This window comes from Homo sapiens, chromosome 3 (assembly GCF_000001405.40).
Source record: "Homo sapiens chromosome 3, GRCh38.p14 Primary Assembly".
In the NCBI taxonomy this organism is placed as follows: Eukaryota; Metazoa; Chordata; class Mammalia; order Primates; family Hominidae; genus Homo; species Homo sapiens.
The window spans coordinates 66,041,687-66,057,175 of NC_000003.12; the positions used below are offsets into that span (position 1 = coordinate 66,041,687).

The 15,489-nt window shown below is 41.5% G+C and overlaps 1 annotated feature.

Annotated features, from left to right (window-relative positions):
• Positions 14,393-14,915: an enhancer, noted in NCBI's record as "NANOG hESC enhancer chr3:66041754-66042276 (GRCh37/hg19 assembly coordinates)". NCBI's record gives its function as "activates a minimal SCP1, AML or CMV promoter by ChIP-STARR-seq in primed H9 embryonic stem cells {active_cell/tissue: H9 hESC(primed)}" and the evidence as "EXISTENCE:reporter gene assay evidence [ECO:0000049][PMID:30033119]".

Consider the following 15,489-nt stretch of genomic DNA (forward strand, 5'->3'; position numbering starts at 1 on the left):
AGAGGGCAATATGGAGAGAATAGACATTATTCTAATTCAGGAAAAGGAAAAATAATTTGAACCTTCAAAGTAGCCAAGGCTGCCAGTTTCCAGGATGCTCCCTCTGCATCTTCCCGGCTGGTGTTTCACCTGGTCTAGTTCCTGTGTCCCAGACTGGAGAAGTTCAAGGCAGAGATCATCTCTCTCCTATCCAACCTTTGAAACCTCAATACCAAAAACCATGAACCATGCCTTGTGTGGAGTGTGCACCATACACAGTTGTTGAGTGAATTGATGAAGTGTGACATGAAATTGTTGAATAAATGGATGAAGTATGACATGAAATTGTGTAATATGTGACCTTTGATCCAAAGCCAGTTTAGATTTGGTTGCCAAAACAGGGGTATTTATATTAGGTTGGTGCAAGAGTAATTGCAGGTTTTGCCATTACTTTCAATGAAAAGAGCTTATAGTTATGTCATTGTGAAGTAGATTTTTCCTGAATAGATCTAAGATCCTAGTATTCTGACTTGTCTCACTTTAGCTATGAATTTGGCAATACATTCTGTTGGGAGAAATAATGCTATAAAATACCTAACTTTCAAGCTTACTGTATATGTCAGCGTAGTGATGTGAGTTGGGGGTTTTTTTGTTTGGTTTTTGTTTGTTTGTTTGTTTGTTTGTTTTGAGACAAACTCTCACTCTGTCATCCAGGCTGGAGTGCAGTGGTGCCGTCTCGGCACACTGCAACCTCAGCCTCCTGGGTTTAAGTGATTCTCACGCCTCAACCTCCCAAGTAGCTGGGATTGCAGGAGTACACCACCATGCCCAGCTAATTTTTGCTTTTTTAGTAGAGACAGGGTTTTGCCATGTTGGCCAGGCTGGTCTCAAACTCCTGACCTCAGGTGATCCACCTACCTCGGCCTCCCAAAGTGTTGGGATTACAGGCGTGAGCCATCGCGCCCAGCTGATGTGAGTTATTTTATGCAATCACCACAGTTGTGTAAGGTAGGAACTATCAGGAATGACCTTGATTTTATAACTGAGGAAAATGAAGCTAAGAAAGTGAAGAAACTTGCCCCAGAGCTTACAAGTAACAAAACCAGGAAGTGAACCCGGAGGCATGACCCAAAACCCATGCTCAGAACACTGTAGTCTGAGAGGATAGGATGTGGCCATTTAGCATATTTGGGTAACAGCATGCTCTGGACTCTTGAATCTGCTACATAGTGTATACACAGTAATTAAGTCCCCCTCCTTTCTGTCTCTTCACTTTAAGCTAAAGGATACAGTGTTTCACTCCAGAACTCAATCTCCTGTTCTCCATCTATGGGCTTTGAAGATTCAAATAATTCAGGAATGCAAAGAGAATTAATTTGCAAACATTTCTACAGTGTTTAGGCTGCAGTACAGGTGACATGCCAAACAGTCTTATATTATTGCATAAGCATTTCAACAATGAACTCCTAATACAGAGGGTAGATTCAGCTGAGAAATAAACTATAACAGAATAAACACTAGACAAATTAAGATCTTATTTGTATATAGCTAGTTCTACTAGGGGGAAGAAAAAAAAACGAATATGAAATGTGCATTTCTTTCCCTTCTCCGAAATATATTTCTTTCCAAAGTTTTCCAGTTGTGATTAAAGAAATGTGTCATTGCAGTTTAAAGTGGTAATTTTCCTCCTTTTTCTGAAAATATGAGGATGGGAAATAAGTTGGTCAGTTGCAGGGGCAAAGGAGGACATATAAATTGGTTATTTTTTTAATTTCTGAAGAAAGCTATCAGGAGGCATACATTAGAGGTTTTAGTATAAATAGGTTATATACGGTAGGGTAACCGACTCCAAACAGGTAACTCAGGGCAGAAGACCAGTAGGGGAGATTGAAGCCAGGGTAGCTTCCTCTGACCATAGTATTCCTCCCTTTAGTACTTTCAGCTAAGCAAGAAAAAATAAAATGTTGTACTTTGGCAAACCAAGGTGGATGATCACTTGAGCCCAGGAGTTCGAAACCAGCCTAGGCAACATGGTGAAACCCCATCTCTATAACACATACAAAAAATTTGCCAAGTGTGGTGACATCCACCTGTAGTCTCAGCTACTCAGGAGGCTGAGGAAGGAGGATTGCTTGAGCCCAGAAGGTCGAGGCTGCTGTGAGCTATCATTGCACCATTGTACTCCAGCCTAGGCAACAGAGCAGGACCCTGTCTCAAAAAATAAAAATAAAAAACAAAATAAGTCTGGGCACAGTGGCTCACACCTGTAATCCCAGCACTTCAGGAGGCCAAGACAGGCAGATCACTTGAAATCAGCAGTTCAAGACCAGCCTGGCCAACATGGTGAAACCCCATCTCTACTAAAAATACAAAAATTAGCCAGGCGTGGTGGCACACACCTGTAATCCCAGCTACTAGGGAGGCTGAGGCAAGAGAATTGCTTGAACCCAGGAGGTGGAGGTTGCAGTGAGCGAAGATCATGCCACTGCCCTCCAGCCTAGGTGACACAGCAAGACTCCATTTCAATAAATAAATAAATAAAATATTAAATTGTGTGACAATTGTGTGACTTTTCAAGACATCATATATGAACTATTATTTTAATAGCCCTGGAAGTAACTCCAGGAAGGGTTTAAATCCTGGTTAATGTTCTGTTTCACTTAAGTGCAAAAAAAAAATAAATCTTGGGAACTGGAATATTTGGTTAGACTTTTGGTCTGAGGAACCAAGGGAAATCAAAAAATGTATCACGAGTATCTCTCCTAAAATTTCCCAAATGGTTCAGCTATATAAAACACTAAGTATCTCAAATTATCCTATCATCCTCCATAATTCCACTGAAACTATACCTGATGGTTTACTAACACTTAATTTCCTTGAGAACAGGAAACTCTCATTTTCCCGAGAACAGACGTGTGTACCTCTTTTATATTGTCTCCCATCAACTTTGTCAAAATATGGTAATTAGAACATGGCTTACTCTATATTTCTTTTTTTCTTCTTTTTTTTTTTTTTTTTTTTTTTTTTTTTTTTGAGACAGGGTCTCATTCTGTTGCCCAGGCTGGAATGCAAGATCACAGCTCACTGCAGCCTCCACCTCCCAGGCTCAAGTGATCCTCCCATCTCAGCCTCCTGAGTAGCTGGGACTGCAAGTGTGAGCCACTACACCCAACCTTCCTCTTCTTTATTGTATATCTTTATCAATTTACTGTACCAAAACAGAACTGAGAGGGAGAAAAAGGAAAATACACATTGAAACTAAGGGTAAAATGCCCATATTTTTAAAAATACCATACTAATATAAATTTTTGCAAGAAATTTTTAAAACAGACAAGTAAACAGGCACATTAAATTAAATCATTTGTAATCTTACCACCAATAATTAACCACTTTTTATATTTGGTGAATCTTATACTGGACCTACATGAACTTGCATTTATTACTTTCAATAATTGAATAATATTTTATTCTCTGAATGTTTCCAAATTTATTTAATCTTAATAGTCCATTGATGATTAGGATTCTGAAGAAGGCTAAAATAACAATTTGTATTAGGGTGTTTTTGATTGTCAGAGACAGAAACCCAGTTTAACTACCTTAAGCAAAAAATGAAATATATTACTCCATGTAAGTGGCAAGACCAGAGGTGAAACTAGTTTTCAATATGTCTGGATGAAGAGGTTCAAGTGACATCCTCAGCTTTCTCTCTCTCTCTGTGTCTTGATTCTCCTTTGCTGTCTTGCCCTCACCCTCTCCCACTACATACAGATGGGTCTTCTCCAGCCAGCCAGGAAAGATAGCTAGCTACAAGCAGCCTACATGATCCAGGTTTAGCAATCCCAGCCAAAAGGAGATTTTCACTAACAGGAGGGAAAAGGAATAGAGAAACTTCAGTCTCTAATAAAGCAATTTCAGTTGTTGAGGGTAGAGGTAGAGTCTGCCTGCTTTGCGGTGGCTTCCACAATAAACACGAGTGATTCAAAAACCTCATCAGCTGCCTAATCAAGCCTGGCAGAGTGTTTGGGGCTCCTTAGGGAAACCTCATCGAGGTGGGTTCCTCTGCAGACTCTTATCATGGTCTCCTTTTCTGCAGTTACCTAAAGGTTCCACGAATTCAAGTATAGTGGGAGTTTGATTTCAATCAAAGCTGCAGTGGTTGGCCCATATTTTTATAGATGTTTTGAAGATATTCTAAAGCTGGCAACACTGCAGGATTGAACCCCTTACAATGGAAGCCAGTCAAGTGTTATACTTGTTTAATACAGATGGCTCGTTAAACTACATAACATTGATTTCAAATGTCCCAAAATGAGTCTTGAGTTTCTCTGAGGCTAAACTGAAAATAACAATTAAATATCCCATGATGGCACATGACAGTTGGTAGATTGTTTTTATTCATTCATTCATTCATTCATTTAGCAATTTTTTTTTTTTTTCTTGAGACAGAGTCTGGCTCTGTCTGTCATCCAGACTGGAGTGCAGTGGCGCATTCTCAGCTCACTGCAACCTCTGCCTCTTGGGCTCAAGCCATCCTCCCACCTCAGCCTCCCTAATAGCTGAGTCTACAAGTACACACCACCACGCCTGGCTAGTTTTTGTATTTTTTGTAGAGACGGGGTTTTGCCATGTTGCCCAGGCTGGTCTTGAATGGTCTTGAATTCCTGGGCTCCAGCAATCTGCCCATCTCTGCCTCCCAAAGTGCTGGGATTATAGGCATGAGCCACCGTGCCCAGCCCAGCAATTTTTGTTTGTTTTGAGATAGCATCTCACTCTGTCACCCAGACTGGAGTGCAGTGACACAATCATGGCTCACTACAGCCTCCAACTCCTGGGCTCAAACAATCCTCCCACCTCAGCCTCCCACATAGCTCAGCCACAGGCACACACTAACCAACCTGTCTAATTTTTTTATTTTTTGCAGGGACTGAGTCTCACTATGTTGCCCAGGCTGTTCTTGAACTCCTGGCTTCAAGCCATTCTCCCGCCTCCTCCTCCCAAAGTACTGAGATTACAAGTGTAAGCCACCACATCTGACTTTTTTTTTTCCTCCAAGCAATTCTCCTGCCTCAGCTTCCTGAGCAGCTGGGATTACAGGCACCTGCCACCATGCCCAGCTAATTTTTTGTATTTTAATACAGACTGGGTTTCATCATGTTGGCCAGGCTGGTCTCGAACTCCTGACCTCAAGTGATCCACCCACTTCAGCCTCCCAAAGTGCTGAGATTACAAGCATGAGCCAGCATACCTGGCCACAGCTGGCCTTTTTTTTTTTTTTTTTTTTTTTTTTTTAGCAATTATTGATTAAACACTTATTTTGTCAACTCCTTGTAGGGACTGATGGCACAGCACTAAAAGACACTTCCCCCCCACCCCAACCCCCGGAGGAAGCCTACCTCCCAATTTGATATTGAAACAAGAAAAAAGATCAGTACTTGGTAAGGTCAATGACAGGGAAACCCAGGTTACCGTGGAGGACATCTCATTAGGGAGGATTTTAATTTGTAAACATGGCATTAGAAATTAAAAGTGCCATTGTTAGAAGAATTTCTTGTCTCCTCTCCTCTAATTTATTTTACAAGTATTTTGAGAAGTGAAAGACAAAGTCCAGCTTTATGATTACATTATGATACTCAAAGATATGTTTTATGGAGGCATTCACAGAGTTCTAAGGTGGTTAAAGTTGCCCACGATGTGAATATATAGTTCCATAAAGGACAATGCTATCTTGCCACAAAGCTGATCCAGCAAACACTAGGTGGGGTTTTGAAAAATGACTCGGGATAACGAAGCAATCTGGAGTCTGAGCAACCTTGCTCCTTGAACTGTGCCATCTTTGGAAAATTGGCCCCCACCAAACTGTATAGCCAGATGAATGAGGACTCAGAAAGATAATGTATTACTCACTTTCCAGATTTAGCACGTTCCTAGAATTTTAAACTCATTTTTATGGACTGTTGCCTAACTGAGGGGAGACTTAGACAAACCCAGAGTGGTTATGAGCAACATCCCCGGGGGAGTCAGTGCCCAAATTTGGAGTCCTTGTGTCCTGAACATTCCTGACACTCCTGGCTTGGATATTCAGCCTGCCCGAGTTGGAGTACCCCAGGGATTTTAGATGCAGCTGAGAACTGCTGAATTAAGCCAAGTGTTGGAAGATCCTGCAATTTTCATTATTAAGTTAGCCCTCTGCTTTATTGAATGCACAAGCTGGCATATGCTTGGGAATGTTTCTGCTTCCAAACTCACAGCATCTACATTTTTCAGATGTTTGACCTTGATCTTGTGACCTTGCCTCTAGAACTCTGAGAGTGCTGGGAATACTCACAGCTGAGTGATGGAAGCAAAAACTAGAAAACAATCTTTTTTTCTTTTTTAACTCACTTACAATACAGGGTTACCTGGCTTGAGACTAGACTGTTTTAGACTAGACTTACCTTCCTTAAGTTATTAATTTTATCATATAATCTCAGTATGACTTCACTTTTTGAATTGATACCACTAAAGCCTGAAACTATTAAAGCTATGCAATCTGCTTGCTAAGGCAAGCTGGTATTTCCTGATACTGCTATCCAGATAGCTGAGAACCTTCTCTAGAGTCATGTTTTTCAAACTTTTCTGATTGCTGTTTGCAATAGGAGATGTATTTTTATCACTAGCACACACACACACATACACATATATACATATGGTTGAAACAAACTTTTCATGAAACCATAATTATCCTTTCTGGGCCTGTCACAGTGGCTCACGCCTGTAATCCCAGCACTTCGGAAGGCCAAGGCAGGTGGATCACTTGAGGCCAAGAGTTGGAGACCAGCCTGGCTAACATGGTGAAAACCCGTCTTTACTAAAAATACAAAAATTAGCCAGGCGTGGTGGTACATACCTGTAAACCCATCTACTTGGGAGGCTGAGGCAGGAGAATCGCTTGAACCTGGGAGGCAGAGGTTGTAGTGAGCCTAGATAGTGCCACTGCACTCCAGCCTGGGCAACAGAGTGAGACTCTGTCTCAAAAAAAATAAAATAAAATAAAATAAAAATTATCATTTCTGCCTACAATGCCCTATGCCAGGGGTTACAACCCATAGTCAATCCATTCCTTAACCTATCCCTGTCTGACTCATGAGCTAAGAATGGCTTTACATTTTTAAATGGATGAAAAACAAATCAAAAGAAGAATAACATTTATATGGAGACACATTTACAACATGGCATGCACTGCTACAAATCTTTGCATTTACTGTCACATTAAATCTTTACAATAATTTGTCTTTGTCTTAACAAAAATCATGACCACAATAGCAACAATGGCTAACGTTTTTTGAGGGAGTGCTCATGGTGCTGAGCATTTTGGTAAATGCGTTATGTGATACATGTATTTAATCCTCTGCACCCTATAAGGCAGGGAGTATTAGCATTCCCATTTTACAGGTGAGGAAACAGAGGCTTGATAAGGCTATGTAACTTGTAGAGCATCACAAACCTAGGAAATGGCAGTTGGGGTTTGATTCTAGGTTTTTCTGCTTCTGGTTCAATGATTTTGACTACTATTTACCTTGGTAGCTCCTTGCCAACTTGACCCACAACATGGACTCGATGAATATTTGAAAAATGAATGAATACATGCGTGAATGAATGAAGGACCTTGAGATGGAATGATGGTCTTCCATGGATCCTAAACAACTATGAGAACACAGACAAATTAGGTGATTGTTCTGTGCTTTTAAATGTAGGCTGAGCATGGTGGCTCATACCTGTAATCCCAGCACTTTGGGAGGCCGAGGCAGGCAGATCGCTTGAGCCCGGGAGGTTGAGGCTGCAGTGAGCCATGTTTGTGCCACTGCACTCCAGCCTGGGCAACAGAGCAAGTCTATCTCAAAAATAAAATGAAGTAAATGCAAGCAAACAAAGTAAACATCTCATTTATTGAGTGTTTACAATGTGCCTAACACTGCACATAAGTGCTTTCAATGCCATTCTCATTTGATCCTCATGACACTATAAGGTAGATGCTATCCCTGTTTTACAAATTTAGAATGAGGTTCAGAGAGGTTAAGTATCTTGCCAAAGATGACATAACCAGTATTCAGACCTGTTGTCACTGAGACTAAGGACCAAGACCATGTTCTTAACCACTGTGCTATATACTTCCATTTATTAATTTCTAACATCCCTGTAATATCTACCCTATGGTTTTAAGGCAAAATAAGCAATATTGCTAGAGCCTTCATTAGTAATTATAGTGTGAGCCAGGTACAGTGGCTCATGCCTGTAATCCCAGCTACTCAGGAAGCCAAGGTGGGAGGATCCCTTGAGGCCAGGAGTTCGAGACCAGCCTGGGCAACAAAAGGAGACCCTGTCTCTACAAAAATAAAAATTAACCGAGCATGGTGGTGTATGTCTGTAGTACTAGTTACTCAAGAGGCTGCAGTGGGAAGATCCCTAGAGCCCAGGAGCTGAAGAATGCAGTGAGCTATGATCACACCACTGCACTCCAGCCTAGGTGACAGAGTGAGACACCATCTCTAAATAAATATATAACTATAGTGTGCTCCAATGACATGTTTCTCTATCAAAAAATTTAAGGCCTAAGACAGAAGAAGTGGAGGAAGCATAGAGATACCTTCCAGTACATTTTACATGAGGATTGTGTTACTAACATACTGTTATATAATCTTTGCAGATTTTCTATAAACCTAAGACTTTTCTAAAATTAAAATTTATCTTAAAACACTCTGAAGCCCATGAAAAATATGTTCAACATCATTAGTCATTATAGATATGCAAATCAAAATCACAAGGAGATACCACTATACATCCACTAGGATGAGTATATTTTTTTTTTAAATGAGAATAACAAATGTTGGTGAGAATGCAAAGAAATTGAAACCCTCATACATTGCTGGAGAGACTGTAGAATGGTGTAGCTGCTGTGGAAAACAGTGGGCAGTTCCTCAATAAGTCAAACATAGGATTACTGTATGACCTAGCCATTCCACTCCTAGGTATATATATATGCAACAGAACTGAAAACAGGTGTGCAAACAAACCACTTGTACAAAAATGTTCATAGAAGTAACATTCACAACAGCCAAATTCAGAAACACCCAAATGTCCCTCAATGGATTAATAGATAAATAAATGCGGTATATCCATACAATGAAATATTATTCAACCATAAAAAGAAAGAAAGTACTGATACATGCTCAAACATAAAACAACCTTGAAAACATTGGTGAGTGGAAGAAGGAAAATGCAAAAGACCACATATTGTATGATCGCATTTATATGAAATGTCCAGAATAGGCAAATCCACAGAAACAGGAAATACATTAGTAGTTGTCAGGAGCTGAAGACAGGAGGAGTGAGGATGGTGCTCCTTAAGGGTTATGGGATTTATTTTGGGAGGGGATTAAAAGGTTCTGGAACTAGACGGTGGTGATGGTTGCACAACATTATGAATTTATTAAATGCTACTGAGTCATATACTTTACAATGGTTAAATGGGGAGTTTTATTTTATATCAATTTTACCTAAAATTCATTTAAAAAAAAAGAAAGGCCAGGCACAGTGGTTCACGTCTGCAATCCCAGCACTTTGAGAGGCTGAGGCGGGAGGATTGCTTGTGTCCAGAAGTTCAAGACCAGCCTGGGCAATATAGTGAGACCTGTTTTTTTAAAATATATATATATAATAATAAATTTTAAATACATATATATTTTTTGAGACAGAGTCTTCCTCTGTTGCCCAGGCTGGAGTGCAGTGGTGCAATCTCGACTCACTGCAACCTCCACATCCCAGGTTGAAGTGATTCTCCTGCCTCAGCCTCCTGAGAAGCTGGGATTAAAGTTGCCTGCCACCACGCCTGGCTAATTTTTGTAGTTTTTAGTAGAGACGGGGTTTCACCATGTTGGCCAGGCTAGTCTCAAACTCCTGACCTCAAGTGATCCACCTGCCTCAGCCTCTCAAAGTGCTAGCCACTGTGCCCGGCCTAAAATAATTTTTAAAAAACCACTCTGGCAACATTACAAAGTTGTGACATATTAAAATAATATAGAATGTGGTATATAATATAAACATATAACTTACAGAAAATAAAAATATTATAGTGCTCAGAACATCTTGATTTAGAGCATGGGTTTTTTTGTTTGTTTGTTTGTTTGTTTTGAGACGGAGTCTCGCTCTGTCGCCCAGGCTGGAGTGCAATGGCACGATCTCAGAGAATCTCTTTAACCTGGAAGGCAGAGGTTGCAGTGAGCCGAGATCATGCCATTGCACTCTAGCCCGGGCAACAGAGCAAAACAATGTCTCCAAAAAAAAAAAAAAAGACTTGCCTGAGGATGTCTAGACATTATGTGAAAGCACAGGGCTTTGATTCTGCCAGTTATAAAAGCCCATGCTCAGCCAGGCATGGTGGCTCATGCCTATAATCCCAGCACTTTGGGAGGCCAAGGCGGGTGGATCACTTGAAGTCAGGAGTTCAAGAACAGCCTGGTCAACGGTGAAACCGTGTCTCTACTAAAAATACAAAAATAGCCAGGTGTGGTGGCGGGCACCTGTAATCCCAGCTTCTTGGGAGGGAGCCTGAGGCAGGAGAATCGCTTGAACCAGGAACTCCTGACCTCAGGCGATCCACCCACTGCAGCCTCCCAGCATGCTAGGATTACAGGCCTGAGCCCAGCCCTCAGAGAAGTCTTATAACCTATATCAGCTCCACTGTCCTCAACCATAAAATGAGTATGATTGCTATTATTATGAAATACTTTTCACATGAGGTGTCATTTAGCCTAACAATAATGATGTTGATGGTTAATATATAGTTTGTTCCTTTCTTTCTTTCTTTGTGTATGAATTGAGTGTTGCTAATCTTCTTAGTGATAACTACATTAAAAGCAAACTGATCTGGGTTTAGGGAGATAACAATCATATTTTGAATGGCTTTTATCTCCTTGAGAGGCTTCCTACATCCCAGAAAAGTATTGTGTGAATAGATCTTTAAAGTAGTTTCCAAAGGAGTATAGCAATGTACTATAACTATTATATGGCATTATGTTGAAATTTAGGCTAAATTGTTGTTACTAAAATTTCTAGGCTGATTCCAACCTGTTTCCAAGAACAGCTATGGAATTCGGAGGTGATAGGAAAAACTTTATTAAGAAAAAAGATACCTACTTCTCCTTCCCTTCCCCTGAGGATAACTAAGCTGTCACCATGAATACTAAGACTGCTATTTCTTCTTGTATTTGCATATGGCATCCTCCCAGGTAATTTATGGAGCAAATCCTGACACAGCTCCAGGAGAAACCATATAGCTCCTTTAGTATCATTAGTAAGTAAAAGACCAGAACATGTAAAGAGGGAGAGGAAATTCATCTCCCAAAAGATTCAGGCACAAGGCTCTCTGTTCCATACCCTCTACAGTCCCTCCACCCACACAACTCAGACATTGTATGTAAGAGAATGACACTTCTAGAACCCTGCCCTCTAACCTCTGCTCCTTTTTTTTTTTGCTCTGATTCTCCTGGGAGTTGAGGAACGCTGGAAAATAACTGCAGGGTTTGGCTTCCAGTTGGTTAACCCTGATGCTGATTTCTCTGTGGGACATTTTCAATCTCTGTTCTTGGCAAGAAACTGCAGAACTACAAAAACTGCCAGCTGAATGAAAATATGTTGAAGAGCAAGGGGGTTGGGAGAGATGGAAATTTGGGGAGTGAAGGGTTTAACACTATTCCCATTCCTGTTTGTACATTCTAGTCTAACCACCAACTGTAAGAAAGTTTGACTGACATTTGACCTACTGGATTAACATCATCAAAAGGGCTGAAACCCTCTTTCTTTTTATTTTTTTATTTTTTTATTTTTAATTTTTGAAACAGGATCTTACTCTGTTGCCTAGGTTGGAGTGCAGTGGCATGATCTCAGCTCACTGCAAGCTCCACCTCCTGGGCTCAAGCCCAGGAGATACTCCCACTTCAGCCTCTGGAGTAGCTGGGTTTACAGGCCTACACCACCATGCCTGGCTAATATTTGTATTTTTAGTAGAGATGGGGTTTCACGATGTTGGTCAGGCTGGTCTTGCACTCTTGGTCTCAAGTGATCCACCCGCCTCAGCCTCCCAAAGTGCTGGGATTATAGGCTTGAGCCACTGTGCCCAGCCCCCTCTTTCTTATTCCATTCTACCTTACGTGACTCCTCCAACTAGGTTAAATGTCTTGTATTTGTTTTAGCAGCACGTGTACGTCCTCATGCAGGCATTCCCAAAATATTTGCAAGGCTTATCATGTGCCAATTTGCTACACCTTAGGTAATGATTCGTCCTTTAATTCAATAAATATTTATTGAGCACCTAAGATATGTCAGGCACTTTTGAACTAGTGGGGGAAAAGCCCTTAACTAATTGGGCAAAGGCGTTCTTCTCATGGAGCTTACATTCTACTGTGGCAATACACAAAGTAGAAAATAGAGTCTCTGAAGATAGGTGCTATGGAGGGGGAAAGGGGGACTTTTGATGCCCAAGGTTAGGATTGTTGTTATGTACAAGGTGATAAGGGGAAGCCTCGTGGCTAAGTTCAGAACTGAGCAGAGGTTTGAAGACAGTGAGAGTGTGGATCAAGTAGCTATCTGGGAGACAGTGTTCTGGGCAGTAGGATCAGCAAGAACCAAGGCCCTGAGATGACAGTCTGCTTGGTGTGGCATGGAAAAGCAAAGTGGAAAACAATAGGCAAATACTCTTACCCTCATGGGGCATAGAGTCTGGCTGGGGAGACAGATAGTAATCAAATATCTGCCTAATAAATGTCTAATTCTAAAGGGACTGTGTGCCAAGCGGAAAATGCAGACATGGCTGGAAGACACTATAAAGACACCTGATCGAATCTGAGGGAAGTATTCCCTTAGGAAATGTAGTTTCAACTGAAATCCAGAGAAGAAGAAGTGATTAATATGGTACTGGAAGAGGCCAGGCCTCCCATAGTTTTGGGATTACAGGCATAAGCCACTGCACCCAGGTTCCTTTTTTTTAACCAATCATCCTCAATATTAAATATTATTTTTAGTATGTATTTCCTAAGAACAAGGATATCCTTTGTGTCTTGTGACAAGAGACAAAATAATTGAGCAGGCATTGAAAGCCCTCATATTCTCAGAAAAGTAGGTTTTTCCAGCAGACATTAAACATACTCCTGCAGGCCAGGCACAGTGGCTCATGCCTATAATCCCAGCACTTTGGGAGGCTGAGGCAGGAGGAACACTTCAGGCCAGGAGTTTGGGACCAACCTCGCCAACATGGTAAAACCCATATCTACTAAAAATACAAAAATTAGCTGGCCATGGGATGTAATCCCTGTAATCCCAGCTAGCAGGGAGGCTGAGGCACGAGAATCGCCTGAATTTGGGCGGCAGAGGTTGCAGTTAGCCAAGATCCTGCCACTGCACTCCAAACTGGTTGACAGAGCTAGACTGTCTCAAAAAAACAACAAAAGAATATGGTACTGGAAGGGTGTTTCCCTTATAGAGGGAAGAGTCTTTGTTCACAGGGGTGAAAAGAAACAGCTCTAGTTTTAGGAAATAAAAGATCCAGTGTCTGACTTGCAGAGAATGAGGGGGGAGGCATCCTTGAGGAGCTGAAAGACAGGAGCAAGGGACAAATCACACAGGATTTCTTGCAGTTTGTATGTAGCTGTTTAAATAAATATGTTTGCCGTCTGCCTTCCCTGCTGGACCAAGCTGGGCAAGGGGTAGGGGGGCAGCTGGGACCCTGTCTTGTTAACTACTGCATGCTAAGTACCTACTCAGAATGTGGCACACAGAAAGGGCACAGTTTGTATTTATTGACTGGCTGACTGGCTGTCTAACAACTCAAACAATCTGACATAACCATCTGAAAGCCTCAATAGTGAAAATGCAGCTTGCATTTTGGGAGTAGTTGGTTCTGCCAGATTCCAGGTTTAGAAAAGGCCAGCAAATTCGGCAGTATTCAAAGCTGTGATTTCTATTTCAAAACCACAGATAGAAGCTGACCAGGACCATGGGGAACTCCTTCCGTGGGGGAAAGGAATCCAAATGGGACATTCATGATACTGAGTTGGGGCAGGGTTTCTATCTTGACTTGGTGATTGTGCATATCATAGATGGGTGCTCCTTTGCTCATTTAATACTTTGTATTAATAAGTGAAATGACCACATGGTAAAACAGTATTCTTTTTTCTTTTTCTTTTTTTTTTTTTTGAGATGGAGTCTCACTGTCACCCAGGCTGGAGTACAGTGGCATGATCTCGGCTCACTGCAACCTCCGCCTCCCGGGTTCAAGTGATTCTTCTGCCTCAGCCTCCCAAGTAGCTGTAACTACAGGTATCGGGGGAAATTCAGCCAGATATCAGGCAAAATTCACCCCTGATATTTCACGTACGTTGTTTTCTATTTTCCCTAAGTGTCGGCCAGTTTGAGAAATAAAGGGACAGAGTACAAAAGAGAGAAATTTTAAAGCTGGGCGTCTAGGGGAGACATCACATGTCGGTAGGTTCCGTGATGCCCCCTGAGCCATAAAACTGGCAAGTTTTTATTAGTGATTTTCAAAAGGGGAGGGAGTGTACAAATAGGGTATGGGTCACAGAGATAACGTGCTTCACAAGGTAATAGAATATCACAAGACGAATGGAGGCAGGGCGAGATCACAGGACCACAGGATGGGGCGAAATTAAAATTGCTAATGAAGTTTCGGCATGCATTGTCATTCATAACATCTTATCAGGAGACAGGGTTTGAGAGCAGACAACCAGTCTGACCAAAAATTTATTAGGCGGGAATTTCCTCGTCCTAATAAGCCTGGGAGCGCTATGGGAGTCTGGGGCTTATTTCATCCCTACAGCTTGACCATAAAAAATGGCCACACCCAAGGGGGCCATTTTTGAGGCCCACCCTCAGGGACGCATTCTCTTTCTCAGGGATATTCCTTGCTGAGAAAAATAATTCATCGATATTTCTCCCATTTGCTTTTGAAAGAAGAGAAATATGGCTCTGTTCCGCCCAGCTCACCGGCGGTCAGAGTTTAAGGTTATCTCTCTTGTTCCCTGAACATTGCTGTTATCCTTTTCTTTTTTCAAGGTGCCCAGATTTCATATTGTTCAAACACACATGCTCTACAATTGGTGCAGTTAACGCAATCATCACAGGGTCCTGAGGCGACATACATCCTCCTCAGCTTACGAGATGACAGGATTAAGAGATTAAAGTAAAGACAAGCATAGGAAATGACAAGGGTATCCATTGGGGAAGTGATAAGTGTGCATGAAATCTTCACAATCCATGTTCAGAGACTGCAGTAAAGACAGGCATAAGAAATTATAAAAGTATTAATTTGGGGAACTAATAAATGTCCATGAAAGATTTACAATCCACGTTCTTCTGCCATGGCTTCAGCCGGTCCCTCCGTTTCATGTTCCTGACTTCCCGCAACATACAGGGAAGTAGTCCCAGTACTTTGGGGGGCCAAGGCTGGTGGATCCCTTGATG